This window comes from Homo sapiens, chromosome 18, assembly GCF_000001405.40.
Source record: "Homo sapiens chromosome 18, GRCh38.p14 Primary Assembly".
In the NCBI taxonomy this organism is placed as follows: domain Eukaryota; kingdom Metazoa; phylum Chordata; class Mammalia; order Primates; family Hominidae; genus Homo; species Homo sapiens.
The window spans coordinates 47,285,414-47,313,329 of record NC_000018.10 but is presented as its reverse complement, the minus strand read 5'-3'; the positions used below and the strand labels follow the sequence as shown (position 1 = coordinate 47,313,329).

Sequence of the window (27,916 nt, the reverse complement as noted above, 5' to 3'; positions counted from 1 at the left end):
CTCAGAAGCAATGTGGTGCTACAGAATGATGTTGCCTTCCATCCTGAAACAAAAGGAATGTCTCTCTAAACAGCCATATCACAGGCTGAGTTTAATTTTTAAGTGCTTACAACATGGTGTCTTGATCTCCTCCCTGCCAACAGTCTTCAGCCTCCTGGCTCTACCTCCAACAGGATAACCTCAAAAAGGTTATAAATTGACATCACTAAGGCCCAAAGACATGGCAGGGAAAACCCTCCCTGCAATACTGCGTTAATAATACTGAACTCTTGCTTAAGGGTTTGATTTCTCTCAAAAACACTCATTCCAGGAGACTTTACATTGCCGAAGGAATTTATTTGCCAGCAGTCCTCCTTTCAGGGAGACAGGACAGGTGAACCTTGACCGCTCTGCATTCTTGAAATGCGTTCTTCCCTCTTGGTTTTCCTCCTACCTCCCAGGCCTCTTCTTCTCTGTCCGTTCATTGGTACCTGCTCCTCTGCTTGCCATCTCAGTATTGGCCAACTCAGATCTCAGCCTGGGGGTCTTTTCTCATCTCCATTTATACTGTTTGGATGAGCTTATTCAGACCCAAATCTAACTATTTCCAGTGCCCCTATGACTGCCAGGCATGTGTCTTCAGGCTCCTGAGGAGAGACTCATGCATCCTCTGGCTCCCTGGCATGTGCACCTGCTGTTGGCAGCACCTGGGGCAAACCCCAGCTAATATCACTTCCCAGCTTCTTTAGATTAAAAGCAATGTCCTGAAGTTGCCCTTCAATGCTGTACATGAGCTGGCCCTTTTCTGTGTCTCCAATGTCACCTCTGGCCACCCCCTCTCTCACTTCTGTTAACTCTCCAGCTCCTTCCTCCATAGGGCCTTAGTGCTCATTAACACCCCTGCTGGAATGTTCTACCCCAAGACTTCAAGTACCAGGCTGCTGCTTGTCATTCTGACTCACCTAAATGTCACCTTGCTAAGAAGTCTTCCCTGCCCTTCCCATCTCCACTCACCGACTTCCTATCTCATGGCCCTGTTCGGTATCTTCACAGCATTCCCCACTGTCTGAAATGAGCTTGTTTGTATATTTGCTCACTAGTTTATCCCACTGCCTCTTCCTCTAAACTACAGTCTCTGGGAGTGCACAGATCTCACCTGTCTCATTCAACACCCTATCCCCAGTACCAGAAACAGGACCTGCATGTAGACAAAGCTGAATATATGTTTGTGAAGGAATAAATAAAATCATCTGAAGAGAGTAGAGAAAAAGCATCACAAAGGGAGGAAGACACTGAAGACCAACCTCCCTCACTTTCCAATGTCCCTAGGGACCAGCTTTGTTCTACAACATGAGTGGAGGACACAGGTGCAGACTGTGAAAGGCCAGGAACTAGAGACCTCCAGTGCAGCCACAGAGCCCACAGCCATAAGAGCACCCTCCAAAGAATCAGCAAAGACAGATGCAGGCCCATCCAGGGCAAATGAAGATTTAGAAGAATTGTGCCATTTCTTCACATGGCCAGAGGCCATGGACTCTGGGAAGAGAGAGTTTGCAGAGTTCCCTGTGCCTTGCACATGCGCATTCCCTCCTGAATACTTTCCTTTCCTTCCTCAGCAGGCTGTTTCCGCTCTTCTGCTACAGGCTGATCAATGACCACTCAAAAGATATCAAAAACTAATCCCTGGGACCTATGAATGTTATTTTTACAGGAAAAAAAAAAGTCTTTGCAGATGTAAGGATCTTAAAAAAGGGGAGATGATCCTGGATGATCCAGGTGGGCCCTAAGTACAATCACGTGTTCTTACACAAAAGACACAGAGGGAGACTTTACTCAAACCAAAGAGGAGAAGGCAATGTGAAGGCTGGGGCCAAGAGTGGAGCCACAAGCCAAGGAATGCCAGCAGCCACCAGACACCAGAAGAGGCAAGAAATGGACTGTTTCCTGGAGCCTCCAGAGGAAACATGGCCGGGCCAACACCATGATTTCAGCCCCACGAAACTGATTTCAGACTTCTGGCCTCCAGAATTGTGAGAATAAATTTCTGTTGTTTAAAGCCACCAAGAGGGTGGTAACTAGTGAAAGCAGCCACAGAAAATGAATACAGATTGTTAATATGCAGCTGAATACCTCCTCCTCTTGAGTGTCACCCTCATACTGCCCCCTAGGCTAGGCAGGGACCCTGCCACAAGGCTCCCGGTGCATTAGGGTTAATCCATGTATCTGCCATCCTCATCAAGCTGTTAATTCCCTGGGGACAAGGGCTGTGCCCTCTCACCACTCAGTGAGTGCATAAGACCCAGTAGCTACTCCATCAACATTGAATGCAACTGAATTAAACCCCTACAGTTGTCCAACAAAGAAGTGGACTGGCACAGGAAGTGGTGGGCTCCTCTTCACTGAGGAACCAGACCAGGCCAGGCCGTCCATCTCTGTGAACAAAAAAAAAAAAACCCAAAGTGAAATCCTTTATGTACCAATGTAAAAAGAAATCTAAAATGCATTAAGTGAAAGAAGTGGCATGTGGAGCAATATGCCTAGAATGCTTCATTTTGTACAGAAAGTGGGTGAGAGGAAAGAAGAATCTCTATCAATATTTGCTTTCATGAGACACTCTGAGAGGGTACCACAGACCCCATAACAGCGGTAACACAGTGGAGGGGAATGCACTAATGAGGTATGGGAAGATTTGTCACTGTAGTGCTTTTTACATTTTTATATTAAATAAAATTAATTTTTAAGCACTCTCCAGGTAATTCTAGTGAGCACTTTCAGGAAGCAATGATTTGGGGCAAACGTGGGAATGTTTGCCCCAAATCATTCATGGTGTCCATTCTGGTTGGTGGATACCAGGGAACTGACACTTGCATCTTCATGTAATCAATACCCCAGGATGAAGTTCATGCTAAAATATGACTGGACTTACCAAAGTCCTATATAAATTCCTGGCCAATGTGTCTAGCATAGCTAACCAGGAGAAGCGCTGCCTGAGCCTGACGTCACAGCTAGCTGGTGCCAGAACCAGGAGAGGTCCACACAGAAAACCTCAAGGAGGAACCCTGGGCCTCAGTGATGGCCAGTGTGGTCTTTCCGGTATTCTAATGAAAATCCCTTTTCCCATCTAGTGTCATGGGCATCTCTCCCAGGTGATTACTGAATATCCACTTTCTCCTGGAGATACACAAAGACATCATCCCATCACTGTTTCTGCCATTATCTTGTGTGAGTCATCCTCTCCCACCTACCCCATCTGCCACGCCTTCCTGTCCCCATCCCAGCTCCAAGCCACAAAGAGATACCCAGTCACAGAGCTGGTCACCTGGGACTTGGACTGAGCAAATTACATGTTTTTTTTAAAAAAAAAAGTCAGAATGAAGCCCTAAGGGTTCAATCTTTCCTTACCATTGTTGGAACAGATGGGGAAGGACTGCCTCATGAAAGGCAGATTAGCCTGCACTGGGATCAGCAGGGCTGGGCGAGGAAGGATCTGGGCCGGAAGGGGCCAGGAGGAGGCAGGATGGATGTAGGGAGAGGCAGACAATGGTTATGGGCTCCTCCAAGGTGGGAGGTGGTCAGCTGAGGCACAGCTCCCTCTAACTGCTGCTTTCATTTGCTCCAGCCCAGCTTCACCTGCCCCCACATGCAAGGACCCCACGTGCTAACACATGCGCACACTCATACACACACAGGCACACATTAACAAAGCATTCACTAGCACAAGCACATGTCCATGAACCAACAAGCACATCAAACACAAGGGAAGCAACGTTCAGGCCCAGAAGTCAGTTTTGTTCCAGGCTATTCTCGTCCTAGTCTGCCACTAGCTGTACCACTTCAAGTAGATCATTCCTTTCTGGCCCAAATCACTCTCTGGACCAGTATCCTCATCTGTCATTAAATTTTCCAATATTGGCTTCATGATGCTTCCAGAACCCAACTGCTTCTCATCACCTCCACTGATATGCCCCCATCCAAGCCACCCTCCCTCTTGCCTGGATTACTACAACAGACACCTTACTGATCTCCTTGCTCCACCCTTTGCCTCCTACAGTCTATTTACTCACCAGCCAGAGACACCATTTTAAATCCATGCCAGATCATGCCACCCTTAGCTCAGAACCCTGCAGTGACTCCTGTCTCACTCAGAGCAGAAGCCAGAGTCCTTGCAAAGACCTGCAAGATCCTTTGTGGTGCTCCACTGTCAGTGCCTATCGTCTCTCTGATCATCTCCTACCTGCCACTCTCCCCGGCCCCACCAGCTATACCTCAAATTTGCCAGGCCAGGATCCATCTCAGGGCCTTTGCACATGCTGCTCACACCCCCAGAAATGAATGTTCTTCCCTCAGAAGAACCTCAAACCAGTGTGTAAGTCCCATGAGGCCAGGGATTTTAATCTGTTTTGTTCAATGTTAATCTCCCCTCCCTTTCACAGGGCCTGGCATGTTTAAGGTGCTCCAAAAATGTTTTTTGACTATTAAATTGGTAGGGGAGGGGAGAGAAAAGGCAAGAATTGCAAGAAATTATCATTAAAGTCTCTGTCAGTGCATCCCACGAGTCTAAGCCCAATATCTGCCACAGGGCAGCTCTGACCCCATGCCCATCTCCCAGCATCTCTGGCCACCTGCCAGGCACCCATGCCGGCTCCTCTCAATTGTGGGCCACAGTCTGGGAACGCCTCTGCTGCCCAAAGCCCTGTCTGTCTCTGAATTTGGGAGGCTCTGGATGGGAAAAAGAAGGGAGATAATTCCAAGAGCTGATCCTCTTACCCATGTTACACACCGAACCAAGACTTTCAGAAGAGCAGGTTGGTAAGTGTGACAGGAGTAAACACAAGGCAAATAGATCAGAAAAGTGATCCATCACTAACCAATAGAGAGGTGAGATTCAAGCTGGGTCTTCTAGGGAAAAGGATCTGGTTCTTCTGCAGAGAAAACTGATGCACAGAGAACCACTAGGCCAAAGTCAAATGCTTTGCATTTGGCATCTGTCTTTTCTAGGATGCAGCCAAGGCATATGAAGTATTGTTTCCATGCAGTTCAGCAGCCACTTCTGATAATAACCGACATGATAGTGGCACTGTTTCACAATTCTGTAGGCTTTTTATTTTCATATTTGTTACTATATTTGCTTTCACAATAGTCTTCTACCACAAAAAGAAGATATTATCTGTGTTCTATAAATGGGGAAAAAGAGACAAAGTCAGGCTTTGCAACTAACTTGCATCACAGACTGGGGTTGGGTCCCACTTCTGGCCCCAGCAAGAGCCAGTCAGTAAAATATATATTATGCTACATAGTGATAACAGCACTGACTCTAACCATCCATCCATAAAGGGCCAGAACCACTTCCCAGCCTGATAGGCCCTTCTGAAGCCAAGAGGTGGCCTCTAAGACTTAAGGTGGGCTGCTAGTTGCTGAGCATCGCATTGCCACCAGGGTTCACAGCAGACATGAGGCATAAACCTAGATAGTGCAACAGTCTCCTGTTCAAGAAGCCCCACTCCTATGACAGCACCATGGCTGGGCAAGGAGGTGGAGTCACAGTCCCCAGAACTCCCACAAAAATACACATTTGGGCAATACAGACTAAGTTACCATACAGTAGTTACTGTATGACATGAGATTCAAGGCAGTGTTACCTTGAATCTAAGGAGGCAAATCCAAAATGAGAAATTCTCAGTGAGTAGTTGGTAGGGAAAGGTATGATAAACACAGATGCACCACCCAGATCCCCTTTCAAGAATGACTAGTGACACAGCTGCCAGGAACACAGTTATAGGTCAGCCCTCTGCTGTCAGCCCCTCCAGGATCACTTCGGCTGCAGAGAGCCACGGGGCCCCAAGTCACATCCTTCCAAGGGCAGCCCATATCTAATGACAAATGAAGGTAGGACTGTAAAGGCCAGGCTATTTCCACCTAATATGGAACAACTCTGATGAGCCATTTTAGCCCCAGAGCTCCCCCTGGGATCAGCCAGGTTACAGCTGGTGTGCATCACAGACCAACTTCTATGCCACGGGAATTCTACCAGTGAGCTCCTTTCTGAAACTAACAGTGTCATAGATGGAGTGGTGTGGCCCTCAGAACAACCTCACAATGGCTCCAGCTGCTGGGTCTACCCGAGCCTGACTTTTCCCCATGACCAACCTCAGAGGTGCCTGTTACCATGGCTCCTTAGTCTATGCCCCTTCTCCACCCTGCTCCCTCCCTCTTAGTGGGGGAACCCTCATCCTTTGTTTTATAAGTTGCCCCCAGGAAGCAGAAGATATTGTTTACCAGCACAATTCATTGGAATCAATTGTTCCTACTGCAGAGCCAGTTAGACAAAGAAAGGGCAGGGTAATAATTATCTACGACCAGATGGCAGCCAGCAGCCAACCCAGAAGGAATTAGATTTCCCATCCAGACCCTATTGGTGCCCTAGGAAACATTTCACCCTTCCCCTCCGACTCCCCAGAGCACCTCAAGATAACTTTTGCTTGATAAGAAGTCCCCCATGATAGGAGGGAATTGGGTAGAAAAAAAAAAAAAAGCCACCTCAGGGTCAAAAGACTTAGCTTCCAGTTATCCAACACTCTGTTGGGTATAGGACCCGAGGCAGCTCACTTCCTTTCTCTTGTTCAGTTTCTTCATTTGTAAAAGAAAATAACTGATTCCTGTTTCAATAAGGATGCTCTCAGCTGCAAGTAGCCAAAATCCTCAATTCAAGTTGACTTAAGTCATAAGGAAAACTGTCATCTTACTCAGCAAGATCAAAGGTGGAGACCCCAGCTTCAGCTCAATGATGCTGCTGAGGCCCTAGTGTCTTTCCCTTGCTCAGCTCTGTCTTCCTCTTGTCAGATATAATATCTGTCCCCTCGTGTTCACAAGATGGTTTCCAGGGACAGTAGAGCTGGGTGCTTCCTCGTTCCCACACAGCAGGAGCGGGGAAAAGAATCTTCCCCTGGTGCAACAGCAGTCCTTTCCTTCAATCTGATTGGGCCAACTTGCCCATCTCCAGACCCATTACCACAGCCAAGGGGATGCCAGGCTCTGATTAGCCAGGAGTCATGAGGATCCTCCTCTGAAGCTGGAGATGGTGTCAACTGGGCCCATTTGAAAGAAGGAGTAGAGAATGGAGACTCCATACTTCCCCTGTATATCACAAAATAGTGTGTGGTTTGTTTACAGATTTACCATCTGACACCTCCAGGTGATGTGCAGAATAAAGTTGTGAAAGCCATCTCTCATTGCAAGGTATTATAAAGAGCAAAATGAGAAGAGCTGAATAAAAACCAAAGTTATATTGGAGATATGCCTTACTTATTGTGGTTTTCTTCTGGGGCAATTTAATCTTTGTTCCTATGGACCTGACAGGATTTTCTTGGTTCCTGCCGTTCAGGGACTTTGTGTGATTTGCCCAGAGCAGACACTGTTGACTACCCACTCCACAAAAAAAAAAAAAAAAAAAAATTTCCTCTAACCCTGCACATATACACTCATCTACTTTTTGTGACTGACAGTTTCCATTTTGTTTCGGTGTCACTTCCTACCAGGCCATATGTTCAGGAAAGGTGGCCCTTCTCCTCAGACCACCAAGGAATCAATCATAATAGGTCTAGACCAATCACAGTTGTCTCAGTCCCTTCAACAATTATTAGTTTAGGGCAAACATGTGATCCAATCTTGGGCAGTAGGACCTGAGAAAATGTCAGCTGAGAAACTTCAGCCAATAAAGAAGCAAATGGGAGGAAACATCTTTTTTCTGGGAGTCACTTAATGTATATGTGATGTCTGGTACCACAGCAGTCATCTGTGGCCATGGGGGAACCTGGTAAGGTGGGTAGGTCAAACAGATTGCAGAGGCTGAGATGGCATTGAGCTGCTGAACCACACACCTCTGGAACTGCCATAACTCTGGATACCTTGTTCCATAAGCTTAAAAAAAAAAAAAACAAACAAAAAAAAAAAAAAAAACCTCATTAGGTGTTAAGTTTAATTTAGTTTATTTTCATTTACTTGCAGTTACTTGCAGCAAAAAGCTCCCTAGTGATAAAAACTGGCATTGGGTGTCAGGCTCCCTGGTCCTAAGTTGTGTGATATTCTCAGTCACACCACATATTAGCTGCCTCAAATGGAGTCCCAAAGAAAACCCTAACACACTCAAAGTGTTAACTCATAAAGGAAGTTAGAAGGCCCAGTTTGGCCCCTGTATCATATCATGGGGTATTAGTGAGGAGAAGTAGATTGATCATTTTACCAAGTTGGGGAAAGTGTAAATTGAAAATCAAGGGGAAAGAAATACATTCACTCAAGAGAAGCCTCTGCTTTTGCCAGATGAGAGTTGAGTTCTCAGACCAAGGAAGCTAAAAGAAAGGCAAGATTTTTCCATGCAAGTGTGGACACTAGGAATCCTCTGAACAAATACTACTGGCCTTGTCTGCAGGGACATTGCCTCTCACACTAAGGATGAGAGTCAGGGGACACAGGTTTTAGTTCCAGCCTTACCACTACTTTTTTTTTTTTTTTTTTTTTTTTTTTTGAGATAGAATCTTGCTCTGTAACCCAGGCTGAAGTGGCTGAAGTGCAGTTGTGTGATATCTTGGCTCACTGTAACCTCCACCTCCTGGGTTCAAGCAATTCTCCTGCCTCAGCCTCCCAAGTAGCGGAGATTACAGGCAGGCACCACCATGCCCAGCTAATTTTCATATTTTTAGTAGAGATGGGGTTTCACCATGTTGGCTAGGCTGGTCTCAAACTCCTGTCCTCAGGTGATCTGCCTGCCTCAGCCTCCCAAAGTGCTGGGATTACAGGTATGAGCCACCACGACTGGCCCCAACCTTACCACTACACTACTTAAATTGTTGTCCAGAAGCAAGATGTTCACTACAGTGGGACTCAGTTGTCTCACCCAACAAAGGAGTTTAGTATTCCACCCTAGTGTATCCCCAGGGCTGTTTTGAGATCACATTAGTTTATAACGAAAACAGCTCTCTCCCCACATTTTTTGATGTGTCCAATGTATCAGGCAGTGTTCTCAGCATCCATATCTTTGTTAACTCACTGAATCCTGACAACAACCCCATAATGTAGGACTATCATTATCCCCACTTTACAGGAGGAGACTGAGGCATAGAAAAGCTAAGTAACTTGCCCGAGATCACAGAGCTAAGTGGTAAAACTAAGACTGGAACTCAGGCAGAGGCTGTGCTCTATGGCATGATGCTGTATGATACAATCACCATATTAAAAAATCCCCAAGAAAAGAAGGTCACCCATGACCCTCAATGGCAATAAATCATTGCTCCCATGGTAGCTTGTCAAGGGGAGAGGTCAGCTGATGGTTCTCTCTAGTAACAAGCCCCTGGGATGCTGCATCTTCAGAGGATTCAACTCCCACAGGTTTCTCTGCCATTCTTCCTCTGCCCATCCCTTCTCAGAGGCCAAGGAACCTGGGATCAAGTCTCAGGCCCCTTCCCTGAAACCAGGGTCCACCCCTGTGTTTTCAGATTCTCCCTCCCTCCTCCCACATGTCTTAGCCCATGTTGCTTCCTCTTTACCTTTAACCCGAAGTATGAGTGGGAGAGAAGCAAAGATGATGGAAGTAGAGTTTGTTCTAAGTAAATGATGTTCTCAAAAGCTGAGAACTAACTATTAGACATCCCAGGCAAGTTGCCTGAAAGACATCCACCAAGGTCTAATGTTCCTATAAAAAAGTGCAAGGTACATTCTGGACCATTTAACACTCTAGCTTCTAAGGAAACAAAAAGACGTAATCACCTAATAAGGACTGGTTTTGTAGACACTGATCAAATGCCTCGTGTCTTCATTCTCTGGATTCCTGCTCTCTAGGCCAAATCCAACCCCTGGAACTTTCTGGGCCCAGCAGGCTGTAATGAGCCCAACTGAACTTAATGAGCTTGTCATTATTCATCTCTGCTACAGCCAAAAAGGAGCACTGCATGGCAAAAATTTTACACAAACGCTTATGTATATTACCTAAATAATATAGTATTTCTTGACTCAAGTGTTGCCAAAATCAATCAATCCATAGAAGAGAAACCCTCCCAGAAGCCTCTGACAGGAACAAGATAGGAAAAGGGCAATGGCTTCCCCACTCCCAAAAAGGGGGATGCAGTTGGAAATATTCCATGTTCCCGGGCTCGGATTACCAGCCCTAATTTATCATCAACCTCATATATTCTTATATAAGTAGTAATACAGATCACCCCAGCCAATTAATCAATCTGTAATTAGGAACTGACATGAACATTTACTACCATCAGGCATAATTTATATGATTACAGGTGATTAAATAAAATGTACTTGAGTGAACAGGCAATTTGTTAAGCACATCTAGACGCAGCCATATCACCTAAGGCTGGGAGCGCCCTGACTCCCCTCCGACAGTGGGTCAGGAGGCATGGTCCTGGGAGCGGAGCCCTCAGGGTGGCTCAAGGTAGGGTAAGATGATTCAGACTTCCAAGGGGGCCCAGGTTTGGAGTGTGGTGGGAAACCAAGCCATACAGATTTGTGGGGCGGGGGTAGGGGGTGGGGGGTGCACTTCAGTGCCCAAGTGTTTTCTGCAAAAGAAATACCTGGATTTTCAGAACTCCTGAGACAACAAGGAAGAAAGAAGGAACATTTACATGACATGCCCTGGAGCAAAACTATGCACAATATTTTCCTTCTGGTCCCCTGGCCCCGAAACTACACCCACTGCTCACATGGAAGGACTCCTTCATTTCTTTCCAGGAGCATTTCTAACCATGAAGGGAGACTTATTTAAAGACAAAGTTTATTCTTGCCAGGAAATGCCATCACCGCTGAAAGGAAAATTTTCAATAATATCAAGCACCAAATTCTGCCTTTTCTATTTTATTGCTCCTCTTCAGATTTTATCTCTCAGTTTTATCCCTTCTCTTCTATTCCAGAGGAGAACAGCTTAAAGTTAAATTTAACATATATCTTTTTGGGTGCCAACTATGTATCAGGTACTGTGCTGAGTGCCATCACGTTAGGCTTGCCAGATCTAGCAAATAAAAATACAAGATGCCCAGTTAAACTTGAATTTCATATAAACAATACGTACTTTTTTTAGTATTAATATGTCTCAAACAGTGCAACCTTACGCCACGTTTGTTAGCTCATAATGTTCTCACAACAACTCCATGAAGTGTAATTTGTTTGTTTCCATCAAGGAAACTCACTTCAGTTCCTCGGCTCTTGCTGCTGTCCCCACCAGGGAATCCCTGTCTCATCTACCTTTGCCTGGCTAACCCTTCTCATCCACTGAAATTCAAGGTGAGCTTCACCTCTATCAGGAAGCCATTCCCCACCCTCTCTGATCCCTTAACCACCTATTCATATTTCTGTCACAGCATTTGGATCATTGTTTAATAATTACTTTTTCCATACCCCCTACACACGAGTGGGGCCCCTCAAGACCTGCCTGAGCTGCATTCACCTTTATGACCTCTTTCCTAGCCTCATGCCAGGCATACAGTAGCCCCTACGTGCATTCTAAGACTTGCTCAGGTTTACACAGCTGGCAAGTGATAGCACCTGCTTTCAATCCTGGTTCCACCAGACCCCAAAACATATTTCATTAGCACTACTCTATCTGCTTCTTTACATAAAATATGTGACCCTTGCCCGAGAAACTTTCAGTCCAATTGAAGAAACAATGAGTCCACAAAAAATAAAAAGTACATAACAGAAGATGGAAATGATGAGTGTCTACCCCCAGTACATAACATGCTATGGGAGAACTGGGAGAGGTTAGTTTTTGACTGAGGGGGCTAGGGAAAAAAATAACCTTGACCCCTATCTCACACCATACACAGAAATTAATTTGAGATGGATCATTGAACTAAATATAAAAAGTTAAAACAAAGTTTCAGGAAGAAAGCATAGAAAAATCTCTTCTATGGTGGACAGTCAGTTTTCTTACACATAGCACAGAAAACAATAACTATCAAATTTAAGAACTGACAAATTGGAACTTACCAAAATTTAGCATTTCTGCTTACCAAGAATACCACTAAAAAAGAATAGGCAAATCACACTCTGAAATAAAATATTCATCAGACACATGTCTGATGAAAGGCTGGCATCCAGAATATATACCCACTCCTACAACTCAATAAGATGACAAACAACCAAATTAAAATGGGACTGTAAGGCCTACATACCATTTGATTTCATTTGTATGACATTCTGGAAAAGGCACAACTTTAGGGACAGAAAATAGATCAGTGGTTACAAGTGGAAAGGGGTGAGTATAGACTATATAGGGTGCAAGGACACTGTTGCAGTGACAGAAATGTCCTATATCTTGATTGTGGTAATTGTATGACTATAGATATTTGCAAAATTCTTAGAAAATATACCTACAAGAGATGATTTTTTACTGTATGTAAATTATGCCTCATTAAAACTGACTTTCAAAAATAGGCAAAATATTTCAACAGAGACTTCACAAAAGAAGGTATACCAATGGCTAATAAGCACGTGAAGAAATTCTCAACATCATTTGGTCATCAGGGAAACAAATTAAAGCCACAATATGATACTACTTATATACTCACCAGAATAGTTAGAATTAGAGACTGACAACACCAAATGTTGACAATGATATGGAACAGCCAAAACTCTCACATGTCATTGGTGAGAATGGAGGATGGTACAACCACTTTGGAAAACAGTTTGGCAGTTACAAAACAAAACAATCCTATCACATGCCCCAGAAATTCACTCCCAGATACCTACCCAAGAGAAATGGAAACATGTCCACAAAAAGACTTGTACAAGAATTTATTCATAGTAGTCAAAAACTAGAAAGAGCCCAGATGTCCACCAAGAGGAGAATGAATAGCCAACTGTGCTGTAGTCATACAATGGAAAACAACAACAAAGGAAAAAACAAGTAACAATAACAAAAAAAAACATATTGATGCATGCAGCAACATGGATGAATCTCAATAACATTATATAGAGGGAAATAAAAAGATCTTAATAAAAGAATGAAGTTCCAGAACACACAAAACTAATTTAATCCATGGAGGAAAAAAATCAGAAAAACCGTTGTCCATGGTTGGCCTGGGAGTTGCTGGAGGCAGTGCAGGAAGTGGTCTGAGAACACTTTCTGGGTTAGTAACAATGCTATAGCTCTTGATAGGGGTTTGGAATACCCAGTTGTAAGCATTGGTAACAGTCATAAGATGATACATTTAAGATTTGTTCATTTTATTGTATGTAAATTCTATCTAAAAACATAAATAAGTGGCATGCATGCTGCAATGGTTAGGTTAGAAGTATACTGAAGTCTGAAACTTGCTTTGAAATACACTCCCCAAGCAAGTATGAATTAATGAATGGATAGGCCAGGTGTAGTGGCTTACACATGTAATCTCAATGTTTTGGGAGGCCTAGGCAGGAGGATTGCTTGAGGCCAGGAGTTCTAGACTAGCCTGGGCAACATAGCAAGACCCTGTTTCTATAAAAGAAAAAAGAAGAGCCAGGTGTCATAGTGCCTGCCTTTAGTTTCCACTACTTGGGAGACTGGGGCAGAGGGATTGCTTGAAACCAGGAGTTTGAGGCTGTATCAGCCATGATCATACCACTGCACTCCAGTGTGGGTGACAGTGAGATGCTGCCTCAAAAAAAAAAAAAAAAAAAGATAGATGTAATACACATGTTAAGTCAAATAAAATACTAATTGTAGCATGTAGATAGTGAAGAATAGGAATCAACTAGTATCCTTTCCATTTTTTATGTGCTTGAAAACTGTCATAATCAAATGTTAGGGAGAAAATTGTAAATGAAGAGGGACATCCCATCAGAAGAATAACAGGAACAAAGGCACAGAGGCTACACGTTGCCAGACACATTAAGTTAAAAAAAAAAAAGGAATATTCAATGGGGTGGGAATAATACCACTAATGATAATAATAAGCACTGGGTATCTATGTACCAAATATTGTGCTAAATGCTGGGGACACATTGAAGAAGAGGACAGACTCTTGCTCTGACCTGGGGAAGAGAGGCAATTTAGCAGGCAATGATAACCAAATGTGATAAGTACTGTCATGGGGGCATCTGGGGTGCTTTATGAAGGAGGTCATAGAAAAGTAGAGGGACCTCTTCTATTGCAAAGCCACAGATGAGCAAGAAAGACAATTTGGTAATTTCTTACAAAACAGTACAAACAGAGCTTTCTACGCAAAGCCTTGTAGAGAGAGACTCAGAGACATGTTCTAGATTTTCAGAGGGAGAATAACAAGAAATGAGGCTGGAAGGGTAGAGGTATATAGAAGGCAAATTACGGAGGCCCTTAAAAGCCATGTACAGGAATTCAAAACTTACTGAAAAGAATTGGAGATCAACTGAATGCCTTTGAGCAGAGTAGTGACAGAACAGCAACATGATAGATTTGATATTCTGTTTTGGTGTGGAGAATGGATTCAAGGAAGAGAGACAATAGGTAAGAACAGAGGACTGGTGGAGGAAAGGAGAGATGATTGCTGTTGGACATCAACAACAGCATCCAGGATGCACCAGGAGGGTAGAATCAGCAATGATTTGGAGGAGAAAAAGAAGTAACATCTATAACAAATCTATAATAAAAAGACAAGAAACTATGAAACAAAAAACAGTAACTCCTACAACTCAACAAAAAGACAATCTAATTTCAAAGTGGGCCATTTGGGCTGACATTCCTTCAAAGAAATATACAAATAGCCAATAAGCTCATGAAAAGATGCTCCATGTTAGTCATTGGGAAAATGCAAATTGTATTCATCTGTTAGGGGTAACATAATAAAATATCACAAACTGGGTGCCTTATACAACAGAAATATGTTTTCTCACGGTTCTGGAAGCTGGAAGTCTGAGATCAGGGTACAGCAGGGCTGGGCTCTGGTGAGGGCCCTCTTCCTGGCTCATAGATGGCTGTCTTTTCTGTGTCCTCACCTGGCGTTTCCTCCATGCATGCATGGAGAGAGATAAAAATGAGCTCTCTGGTATCCCTTCTTATAAGGACACTAATCCTAGAGGAGCAGGGCCTCACCCTTACAGCCCTACTTAGCCTTAATCATTTCCTTAGAGGCCCTATTTCCAAATGCCACCACACTGAGGGTTAGGGCTTGAGGGGTCAGAGGTGGTGGGGAGGTGGGGTGCAGTGCTCACAAACATCCGGTTAATAACAAATCAAAACCACACTGAGATACCAATTCATACCTACTAGGATAGCTGGATTTTTTTTTTTTAGTGGAAAATAACAAGTATTGACAAAGATGTGGAAAAATGGGAATCTTCAAGCAATGCTGATGGGAATATAAAATGGCGTAACCACTATGGAAAGCAGTTTGGTGGGTCCTCAAAAGTCTAAACATAGAATTAACATATGACCCAGAAATCCTACCCCTAGGTATATACCGGAAGGAATTGAGAGCAGATACTGGAGCACATGTTTGTATACCACTATTCACTGCAGCATTATTCACCATAACCCAAGTGTCCATCAACATATGAGTGGTTAAGCAAAATATGATAGATACATACAATGGAATATTCTTCAGCATAAAACAGGAATGATGATGCATGCTCCAATATGAATAAGCCTTAAATTATGCTAAGTGAAATAAGCCAGACACAAAAGAACAAATGTGTATGACTCCATTTATAAGACATATCTAGAATAGGCAAATTAGTAGAGACAAAAAATAGATGAAAGGTTTTCAGGAGCAGGAGGAAAAGGAGAATGAGGAGTTATTTAACGTGTACAAAGTTTCTGTTTGGGGTAATGAAAAAGTTTTGGAAATAGATGGTGGTGATGGGCACATAACATTGTAAACATAATGCCACTGGATTGTACATTTAATGACAATGAAAATGTATTAATGGTCAAAATAGTGAATTTTGTGGCATGTAAGTAATGTATAATACATTTTTAATGTATTATATATAGATATATATTTAATACATAAATATATTTAATATATTATGTAAATATATAAATGTAAAGAATATGTATTTAATATAACTTGCGTTATCATTTGTTAGGTAAATATAAAAGTATAAATCACATATATGATATATAAATTTGTGTGTGTGTATATATGTATGTGGACACATACGTATATACACACATATTTACCGCAATGAAAAACTCCCATATTGAAGTTCTAACCCACAGACTTTAGAATGTGACTGTGTTTGGAGATGGGTCTTTAAAAAGGGGATTCAGGTAAAATGAGGTCCTATGGGTGGGCCCTGATCCAACAGGACTGGTATCCCTGTGTCCTGTGATTAGGACACTGACACACACAGAGAGATGTGCACGTGAGGACACACGAAGAAGATGGCTGTCCACAAGCCAAGGAGAAAGTAAGGCCTCAGGAGAAACCAACACTGACCTTAGACTTCTAGCCTCCAGAACTATAAGAAAATTAATTTATATTGTATAAGCCACTCAGTCTGTGGTATTTTGTTATGGCAGCTCTGGCAAACTGGTACAACTACAGCCTGCATTTGTTCTTGTGGGGACTCCTTTGGGTTCAACTTCCAGACCTAGAATCCGACCACTCACCATCTCACTGAGACCTCCTCAGTTCAAATCAACACCATCCATCATTGCCTTCTAAAAGATCTATGCTCCTGACAGTCTGGCAACAGTCTGGCTGCCAACAGACACCAAAGACAGCCCTTGGAACCCACAGGATATCCTGTCAACCACCAAAGACTTTACACTGCCTCCTCCATGGACTAAAGTCTACCCAGCCCTGCAGGGCCTGGCCACCAGGAGCCTCTCAACCTCCATTTCTCTCCTTGCACTGTTGACTCCAGCCACAGTGACCTCCTGAGAGTTTCTGGAAGATGTGAGGCAGACTCTGAGCCTTTCTTCTGCCCAGTGGTTCCCAAAGCTCATCCAGAACCAATGGCATCAACATCCCTGTGTTTACATAGCCCTTCATGGGATACCAATGGTGCTCAAAGTGGAAAATGGCTGTCCCACACATTCTTCTGCCCATGGTCTTATTTTTTGGGATCTCCATAGCTAACTCCACCATCTTCTTCTGGGATTTGACCCAACCTTTTCTTCTGGGAAAGGCATAGCCCTGAATCCTCTTTTAAATGTTGGCATGCTCTTGCCCCCCAACTCTTTACTTTCTGTCACCCCTACAAGGGAAATTTTTGTGCTATGCATATTTTACCACACTTTTTTAAAAATTATGTATTATACCAATATCCATTGAATTATGCACCTTAAATGAGTGGACTGCATGGTATGTGAATTATATCTCAGTAAAGCTGTTAAAAATAGATTATGAAACAAAAATATCAAGAAGCAGTGCTGGAGAAAAAAGACAGTCACTGAAATTAACCCAAGAATCAGGATAATTCTAAACAGGACACTGTCAAATAAAGAATTAGTGAACTGAAAAGTTGCACTAAGGTATTCACCCAACATAAAACAATAAAGATAATTTTAGTGTGAAAAAGAGGAGTTCCAAACACAGATAATTAATGGTGAAGGGAAAAATGTTCAAAGAAATAGTGGTTTACAATGTCTCCCTGATTGAAGAAAGATATTGGTCTTCAGATAAGTAAATACCAAGCAGAATAAATAAAAACAAATTCATTCACTATATACATTGTAGCTAATCTACAAACCATCAAGGAAAAAGAGGAAATCTTAAAAGCTATCAGAAAACAAAAACTGATTACTGAAAAAGAAATGACAATTAGATTAAGAGCAGACTTCTCATTAGCAACAAGAGATACCAGAGGGCATTACAGTAATAGAAACAAGTCCAAACATATCAATAATAAATGACACAAATAGTAGGAAAACATTTTCGTCGATTGGTCCAAAAGCACACAAGACCATACCATATATTATTCACATGTATATAATAAAGTATGAAACCATGGACTTGAAGGATACATGCCAAATTCAATGTTTGCCTGCCTCTGGGGAGGAAGAAAGGAAGGTGAAGGGGTGGGGGTGGTAAGGACAGAATAATAATAAAGATTAGCAAATATTAAAACTTCATTCTGGTGTTGGACACGTTGTTTTATTCATCCCCACTTTCTATTTTTTTTTAAATAAAAGAAATGGCAGAGACTTGAGCAGGTTGTTCACTTGTTGGTGAGAAGGAACCAGTAGAGGGAGAGGAGAATGTGAGGGTGTGCAGAAAGAGGGAGATGGGCAGTGGGGAACAAATGAATGAGGCCCTGAAAAGCAAGAGGCTGAGTTGCACTCATTTGATGGGTTGGATGTGTCTTCCACTGGAGGAGGATGGGTGCAGACACATGGGTAAGCGTGCAGATTTGCTGGTCATTGGTGTGGTCCTGTTGGATTCCACCATGGACTGTGCAGCAGAGCCCATTTTCAACCTGACCTTGTGCTGTCGGCAAAGCAGAAGATGAAGCCCCACCCGCATGCTCCTAATGGCCACTCTGCTTATGTTTATGGAGAGGTCCTGGACATACTGGTGTAGCCTAGATTTCATAGAATCATAGAATTAGATTGGGAAAAAATGATTCACCCTCACTTTTACATTATGAGAAAACAGAAGTTCTGCAAAGGAAAGGAATTGCTCCAAAAGCACACTGCTGACTAGTGGCCAGGACTTCTGAAGAAGTAATCTGCTACAGTGTCCCAGAACTTTCACTTCAGCAAAGTGTGGCTCACCTATTTTGAGTCATGGCTTGACTTATAATTTTGTGAAAATGCCAGCCCTGCCTCTCTCAAGGATTATTGTCATAATAGTATAAGACAGTGCAGATGAAAGCACTTAGGAACTGTAAATCTCTGTGACAAAGCCAGTGTTTGGGTCTGGCTGGCCACACCAAGAAACTGTCTCATTACCTTGTCTCTGGCCTAACATGCCCTTCCCCAGCTTGATCACACATCTTATTCACCAGATTTGGTTCCAAATAGGCTTTGACTGTTTCCAAGTTCTTCCCTTTTGAGAATATGTAAAAGGATATTTTACCTGCCCTGAGTATGCTTGCTGAGAAAACAAAACACTTCACTTGAAAGCAAAATTTGCAACTGATTTGTTTATAATAGGCACAGAGTTACTATGTCTGTCCAATGAATAAAAAGTAACTCATAACTGACAGGAAGGCTGAGCTTGCTTCCTATGTTCTCTGGATCACAGCTGTGTACTCCTGCGGAGATGGTTTAAGTTTATTAATTAACAGCCGCCCTCTTTTTTCCTCCTACATCCAGGGTGGCAGGTTTCTAAGAGCCTTTGAGAGATTTATTTTTATCCTTCGAACGGATAAAATACATTAATGAAACCATTGGAGACTTTAGGGACTGGGTTCCACCCACAGAAGCCAAGTGTGAGTGACCGTTGATTATTAAGTGTCCTCTTAGCAAAGGAATATCATCAGACTGGCCTGATGAGCATTTAAGTGTGCAGAAAGTCAGGGGAGGATCACATATGCATTACGTATAAAGAGACACCCCAGCTTTCTTACACAGAAAAATAAAATCACTTTGCAAAATATATAGACCTCCCCCTCCCCCACTCCACTACCAGCTGGTCCAGTCCTTGAACATAGAGCCCCATGTTATGATGGCTCCAACAATTTGGGTCAGCACGATGTTTAAACTCTTAAGTGGAATCACTAATCTCCATTAATCTGACTGTAAAGATGAAACATAATGCTTAATACAAAAGCATAAGAGTTAGTAATGCATGTTCCTGACAGGCTGCCTTAATACACACCAACTCCTGTCCAAAGGGCAGGGTCTTTGGGATTGCATATGACCATTCAAAATCTATTCCTGAACCTTCCTGGAAATTTCTTCATGTGCAGGGACAAGGACCCAAGGGGAGCATCCACCATGATGCTCACAAAGACATTCCTCCCATGGGACTTCTGGCCTCCACTCCTCACGAGTGATTAGGTACTTAGTTTGGGGCTTGGCAGAGCTGTGACTTTGTCACTGGCACCCATGGCCATAGGCTGAGTGGACCAGTGGGCATGGTAAGCACCTCACACCTATGTGGCACTCACCCCAAAGGGAGAGCACCTGGCTGACCCATGAGGGAAACATCGGGGAGCCCTCTTCCTGGCTGGGGACACTTTGGGACTTTGAAAAGTAATTGAGTAGCTCCCTATCTCTGTGAACCCAGCTACAGAATAAGCACCGCTCATTTTCCTAATCTCACCTCTTCCCTTCCCTACTTCTCCTTCCTCTGGGCCAGTGTTTCTCAAACCATGGTCTCTGGAACCACTTGCAGGAGAGGAGAACCACTGAACACATCCACATTCCTGGGCCGCTCACCCTGACCTACTGACTCAGAATCTCTCAGGAGGAGATTGGGGAAAACCCTCTTTCACAGGCTTTAGCAGTGAGCATTCAGCACAGAATGTTACAATCACAATCTAAATTTTGCAAAGCTGTTATAGGAACTCAGGTGAAAAATGGTCATACCTAGATAACCCCGCCCCAGCACAGTGGTTTTGGACTAGAAATTCCCATAGTCTGGTTCCCAAGCAAGTTCTTAAAGTAAAAGTTACATGTGTCAAGTGAAATATGGATGCAGACTCAGGGGATGCAGACGTCAGAAGAGGTTGTGACATCTTTTTTTGGTAGCCACTGTGTTCATAGTCTCCCTCTTGTCTTACCATGATGATAATAGCTAAAACTTACTGAGTGCTTAGAGTGTGCAGTGCCATTCTAAGGGCTTCATGTGTATTAGCTCACTGAATTCTCATAAGAGTTCTATGAATAGGACTTTAACTATTAGTCCTTGTGGGGGGAAAGAAGAGCATTTAATCAGGCTATGGAGGATTGGTGGGAATATTTCAAATTCCTCACCTATTAATTCAACTGCCATCAGGAAGGATCCCCATTGCCTTTTCATGTCTATAATCTCCACTGCTAATTTCCCAAAAATAAGAGAGAACAATATTTGGACTAGAGCTGGTTGCTACTGGCTCTATTGAGGACTCTCATTCTACCCCCAAAGAATGACTTCTTTCATAGAATTTCAAGAGGCTGGCTGTCCACTCTATGAGCAGGTAAAGCTGCCTCTGCTCCAGGTTTTCTGATGAACCTAAGCTATATCAGGAGCCAGAAAAATCGAGGCTCAATCTATGAACATTGCAACCCATATTACCTGGTCTCTGTTCCTGCAGAATTCATACTTTATGGTGGCCACTGTCTTTAACTGCCTGGGACTTTTCCCCAACTCCAGATGCCAGCCTACCCTTCTGATAATAGACTCTAGCCTCAGAAGCTTTGGGATTGACTAGTGATGGCTCTATCCCCTTGGCCACAGTGGGAATAGCAGACACAGTGACCAGCAATGAGACTGTGGCCCAAATAAGAGTCAATCAGAATTCCTCCTGAAGGTTTTCCTGGCAAGAAAGACTAAAAAATTGTGAATCTGGGGCTCTGTATGCACACTTTTTCTTTTTCTACCTCATGGAGAAATCTCTCTGCATTAAAGAGTGAAGGCAAGCAAGAATGAGAGAGTCAGAGACAGAGGATAAAAGGCAGAGAGAAATTGGCTGCCATCTTTGGAGCACCTGTAGCCAACTCCAGCCCTGCCCTTCCTATAGTTAGGCTACAGGGACTAATAAACTCCCCTTTAATATTTAAACTAGTTCAACACGAGTTTCTTACCACCCCACAACTTCCAGCTCATTAGATACATCTTATCTCTCCACTTAATTTGGTGTCCCGTGAACACAAGCATGAAAATAACTTGGATTTGTACTGGCATTGGGTGTTTAATCATTCATTCATGTATGTGGCCATCCTGTTCTCTTTCTACTATGTGACAAGCACTTTGTCAAGGCACTGAGGGTACAGGGGTAAACAAAGTGGTCAGTTTTTTACCTCATGGAGCTTACAGTCCAAATAATTCCACAACTAAATATTTGAAATATAGTTTCAACAAATGCTACAGAATACAGTGATGAGAGGAATCCATGTTACTGGAGAATGCGAGTGAAAGAAAGAAGTCTCCTCTTAGCATTTGGTATCTCTCCTGAAGTCCGAAAGATTAGTCATCCAGGCAACGACGGGATGAATGAGCCTCCCACAGAGGAAGTGTCTGTGTGAAGGCTCCGGGTCTTAAAAGCAGCATAGAAGGAACAGAAGAGGGTGGTGTGGCTGGAATGGACTGGGGTGAAATTGAGACTGAAGGGGAAGGTAGGGACAAGACTGTCATGGCCTGATGAGCCATGTACCCAGTCTGAGACAGCCAATAGACAGCCATAATTAAGAGAGGGATGCAAGTGGCTTTACATTTTAAAAGAATAGCTCTGGCTGCTGTGTGGGGTGGGGATGGTACACAAACTAGAGGAGACAATGGTGGGTGTGGCAGAAGAGTAAGAAGGTAACTGTCTTCATTCAGGCAAGAGATGAAATGGCTTGGACTAGGCTGCTCAGTGGAGGGAATAGATTTGAGAGTTACTTAAAAGACAGAATAGAATGTGTTATTGATTCACTACAATGGGTTGGGGGATGATTCCAGTTTCCAGCATAAGCACCTGAGTAGTTTGTGATGCCATGACTGACCTGAGAATGCTAGAGAAGGACTAGGTTTGCAGGGGGAGATTCTATGTTCAATATGGGAAAGTTTCATTTTAAGATGGCTGGGAGATATCGAATGGAAACAGCAAGTAGATAAATGCATTACTTCACTTGAAACAACAGATTGATGTGTCCTTTTTTCTATACCTATTTTACAGGTGAGGAAGATGGGTACAATAATTTAATGGGACTAATAGGAGTAGCACTAAATTTCCTACATCCTGGTACAAGTGTTTTCAGTGAACCATGCTGAATCCTACTACATTTGACTGATTAAACAAACCAGCCAAAAACAATGTTATATAATAGAAGACTTTGCTATAAGAGGCATAATGTCAATTCAAAGTTGTGTTCTGTGAAATCAATGTTACATTGTCTAACATTTGGTATCAGTTTAGTAACTTAACAAGACATAGAAATCCATCCTTATACTTCATACAACTGACAGTCAACCTTCCATTGAGAAAATAGTCCAATTCTACTGTGGTTTAAGTTTCATCTGTGCTCAGCATTTGTACCAAACATTGAAACAATTATTGGTAAAAACTGTCAAAATACATTCATTCTAATTTTGAAGAGGAAACTATTTCTCACATTGGTTGCTTTACCAACAATACCTACCAGCTATATATCCAGATGAAAGAGACAAGTGGAGTTTTGTTTAAAAAAAAAATCAATAGATTGGCTCTGATGGAAGTCATTAACGCAAACTGTTTAGCAAGAGAGGCTGATTTTTCATTCCTGGTTGGCATTCCATAAAGAAAAAAAAAGTTGCACTGAGTTTCTGAACAAACTCATGATTAAGAATCATATCCATCTTGTCTGTAGACTGTGCCCTGCTCCACTGATTCAAAAGAAAGGATGTGTTTGGTTTTAAGGGGAAGCAACCTGGCCATGCAGAGGAGAGCCTGCCTGGGCGGGACCCAGATGTAGTGGGAACCACTGAATTCTTGAGCAGTAGTATGAGATAATTAAAGTGATATTTGCAAAAATACTCAGCCAGATACTGCATTTGGTTTTCTGACACAGCCCTAAAGTCAAATTGCTAGCTGGAGGAAGAGTACCTTGGGGATAGTGACACTTGCTATACATCTTCATGGCATCCCTCCCCACCACAACCTGTAATTCGGTGGCTTGTGCACAGGAAAGGCTTGATAGAAGCATGTGGGATGTGGGCAGTAAGGGCTGGAGGCTGAGAAGGGTATTGTGGAAGACACCGACTTCTTTGCCCTGATCTACCATTATAAAACACAGTAGGGTTTTTCCAGATCCATGAAGACAGCTTTTATAGATTTTACTTTATGCAGGGGAGGTCACCTTGATTTCATTTGTAAATGGAACTTGTCAACTGAAAATCCCAACTGGTACTTGTGGGGAGGAAACAGGTTTGAATTTCTGAGTTGGTCTCAGATAATGAGGCTGGGGTTTCCCACCACACAGAAACAGATGTTTCCCAGGACTCTGTGCTTAACCTGGCTTTGGTTTTATTAGCACAGTCTTGCCATGCTTGGGACTGAGCAGGCTTTCAAGCCTGTACCACTTCTGAAGGAAGTCAGTGGGGTGTTCCCTGGCTCTACCTGGAAAAGTCACATCACACTGGTACAGGGGTACCATGAAAAGAGTTCGTGGACCAGGACTCAGGGTATCCAGTGTCCAGTGCTAACTCTGCCACTCCCTCAGTATTTGACCTTGGACAAGTTGCTTCACCTCTCTGTGCCTCAGTTTCCTCATCTGGAAGGAGTGGGGACTGGCCTAGAAAATCTCCAAGGTCCATTCCAGAAGCTTAACAGTGCAGATCACTTACCAATTAAAAAGCAGTCCCCCCACTCACTTTCCAATAGGGGTTCTACATTAAATGTCACAGAGACAAGTTAGAGAAAGATGCCTCTCCAGAAATTAAAATGCACCTTAGAAAGGTGGGGAGAGGTGGGGCTGCTTGCAAGAGACCTCTGGGCCATAGTCAACCATCTTCACCTGCATTTAACTCAAGTCTGAAAGGATGTGAGGCAGGTTCTGAGGAAGCAGCTGGTCACAGCTCACCAAGCCATGTGACTCCCTCATGGGTCTTCTCAAGGTTGAGTTAAGGATTCTCCAGGTAGGGAATTCTCCTGAGAGCCTCTGCTTAAGTTTAAAAGTTTCCCCTGTGGAAGCCATGCTCCAGGAAACAGACAGTCAGAAGGGGAGTCCAGCTGACTATGAAGGGACTTTGTTCTGTCCAGCCTCCATGTTCCCCTGAATCCCATCCCCACGTGGACACTCCCCCAAGAACAGGAGTCCCCAAAGGACAGAGGCTCCTTTTGTTTAAAAAAAAAAAAAAAAAAAAAAAGAAGTCCTGTTCTCTGGGCCATTAATCATGGCTGTAAGAGCGTTTATTAATGCCCTGTCAATTGTTCAGAGTGAAGGCAGCCTGTTAGCTGTCCTCCCTCCCTGTTAGCTGTGTACAAACACTGGTGATTAAGCACCAGATTTAACATCCTCATGAATATTTAAGAGCCTGTTTTTGAAAGTTTCCTGTCCTTTTACACTAATAGCCCCATTAAAACCTGTTTACAAGCCAGTCAAGAGAGTAACTGCATGCACTTAAAACACGAGAGTGCTCCCCCAAGAGGGGCACCAGGACCACGTGAGGATCAATACCCTGCTTAAAGTAAGACTGTCTGCCCACCCCCAGTGGAGCCCAGCCCCGCTGGAACCGCCAGAAGGAGCTGGAAAGGACCCAACTTGTTAATTAGGCTCATGAGGGGGGTTGTAGGGGAGCAAACCCTTGCTACTGGGCTCCCTGCTGCCCCATGTAGGGTGACCCCAGCTCAGAGACTTCATAGAAGTTACCCAAATGATATCAACAGCATACAGCCCGGGGCCAGCACAGGAAAGAAAGTTTGTCTTTGTGCTTCTCATCTCCTGGCAATTGCTCCCCTTAGAGCACCTTAACCCTGGACCTGGCTTCTGTGCCACAGCTCATCACATGAGTCTCCTCAAGGAGTTAATAAGGGCTTAAGGAAGTGTAATGAGGCCTCCCTCACTAGACCTGAGAATTCCCAAAAGCTCGAAGGCTCCAAAGAAACGAGAGGTGAATTTGTGAGGGAGATATTGGAACTACAGTGGGGAGTCCTTTTTCTGCATGGAAGAGGCTGATTCCTCCATCAGCACTGAGGCTGCTTTCCTGCAGCTGGAGAAGACAACAGAAGCATGGAAAACCACTGCTTTGAAATCAGTTGGACAATGCCCTAACGTCTCTTTCTCAGTTATATGCAAAGGAATGACCGGGCTGGTGAAACAAGGGTAGGGGGCTGTATTAGTCCGTTCTCACACTGCTATAAAGAAATACCTGAGACTGGGTAATTTATAAAGAAAACAGGTTTAATTGGCTCACAGTTCTGCAGGCTGTACAGTTCTGCAAGGCTGTACAGTTCTGCAAGGCTGCATGGCTTGGGGAGGCGGCCTCAGGAAACTTTCAATCATGGTGGGAGGTGAAAGGGAAGCAGGCAAGTCTAACATGGCTGGAGCAGGAGGAAGAGAGAGAAAGGGGAGGTGCTACGCACTTTCAAACAACCAGATCTATGAGAAGTCACTCACTATCACAAGAACAGCAAGGCGGAAATCCACCCCACATGATCTAATCAACTCCCACAAGTCCCCTCCTCCAACACTGGGGATTACAATTCAATATGGGCAGGGACACAAATCCAAATCATACCAAGAACCTTTCTGGTGGTCCCAATGTCACAGAGAAGGGCAGAGCCAGGTTGCCAGGTGCAATCTACTTCCTTTCTCAGCCCCAGCAAGCAGCACTCCCAGGATGGGCAGATGTGTGGAGGGACCTCCCTGCCTCCAGCAGGGGAAAACTCTCAATCACTGGATCTCCCTTCCCCATCCATTGCCTGTGTCTGTGTTTAAGGAGACGAAGCACCACCATTTTTAGAGCAAGGAGGCATGCCCCAAACTTGACCATTTAAGTCTTACTGTATTTTGCAAAGTTCACCATATGGACCACTTCATGTTCCAGTAGTGTTACTGGGTTCCTCAAAATACAGTCCAGGACTGCTCTACTTTTTACATGACATATTTCCTGGCCCAGAGATGAATTTTCCTCTTATAATGGAATTCATGCATGGTGATATAGTATATAATTATATATAACAACATTACTGTAGCAATACTCACTGATCTGAAACACAGTAATCTAGTAATATCACCTCTCCAGAAATTCTACAAAAACCAGAAGTTATTGCAAAAGGTATCTGAGCATCCAAAATAAATATCGCAAGATCCATGCACTAAAATTTACATGTTTTTCTCAATAGGCCTGTATTGCAACAGATTACTGACATTTTTAAATGATTCTAATAAGTCTAGTTCTCTAGTCAATTAGAAAGAGGAGGGAAAAGATAGAGGCAGACACACTGACAGTAAAAAGAAGTCAGAGCTTCTGGAAAGTGAGCAAGAAAAAAAACTCTAAAAAGCAAAACTCTAAAAAGCAAGTCCAAAGGCCCCAACAGCCTAGCAGTTTGAGGTCATGTATTCCAAGGGAAAATAGATTTGCACACTTCAACATGTCCTGGGTTCTTCATAAAAAAGTAATAAGCCATAATGTCTCACGTGTAATGAGGTAGGAAAGAATGCAACACAACTCTTTTCAAAGTTCATCAATAAAAGTTAAAACCATCATAGCTTCGGAGCTTACAGAGCTAAGACTTCCACTACACAGAAAGTTTATCTCCAGAATAACTCATTTATCTTTTGCCCCTCTTTTCCACTATATTCATATTTTATGTTTCCACCAAAGAGTATGCAGAAGAATCAGGACAAGTTTATAAACTAGGAAGGCGGGTTGCTACACCGAGAAGCTGGCTTCATTCCTTTATAGCCAATGTTGTCTTGGGGCTGACTCGCATAAGCTCAGGAGAGCTGAGTATTCACGTATTAGTCCGTTTTCACACTGCTATAAAGAACTGTTCAAGACTGGGTAATTTTTAAAGAAAAGAGGTTTAATTGACTCACAGTTCTGCATGGTTGGGGAGGCCTCAGGAAACTTACAATCACGGCACAAGGCAAAGGAGAAGCAAGTACCTTCCTCACAAGGCAGCAGGAAAGAGCGAGAACAGGGGAAACCACCACTTATAAAGCCAACAGATCTCGTGAGAACTCATTCACAATCATGAGAACATCGTGGGGGAATCCCCCCCTCCCCGATCCAATCACCTCCCACCAGATACCTCCCCAACACGTGGAGATTATAATTCAGATTACAATTTGAGATGAGATTTGGTTTGGACACAGCCAAACCGTATCAGTTCAATTTTCAGGAATTTCATGAGTGATTGTTAAACATTGCCCTTATTAGACATTAAATTATGTAAGCTTACAAATAAGTTACACTAAAAC

General features: G+C 43.3%; 1 long non-coding RNA gene across 1 annotated transcript in view; it reads right to left on the bottom strand.

Moving 5' to 3' along the window:
* The window catches only part of MIR4527HG (MIR4527 host gene), a 308,827-nt gene extending 281,221 nt beyond the window's left edge, over positions 1–27,606 (bottom strand). Inside the window, exon 1 of the long non-coding RNA NR_147192.1 lies at positions 27,569–27,606. This is a non-coding gene — a long non-coding RNA (MIR4527 host gene). The remainder of the gene's footprint in view (positions 1–27,568) is intronic.
* Between the last annotated feature and the right edge of the window lie 310 nt (positions 27,607–27,916).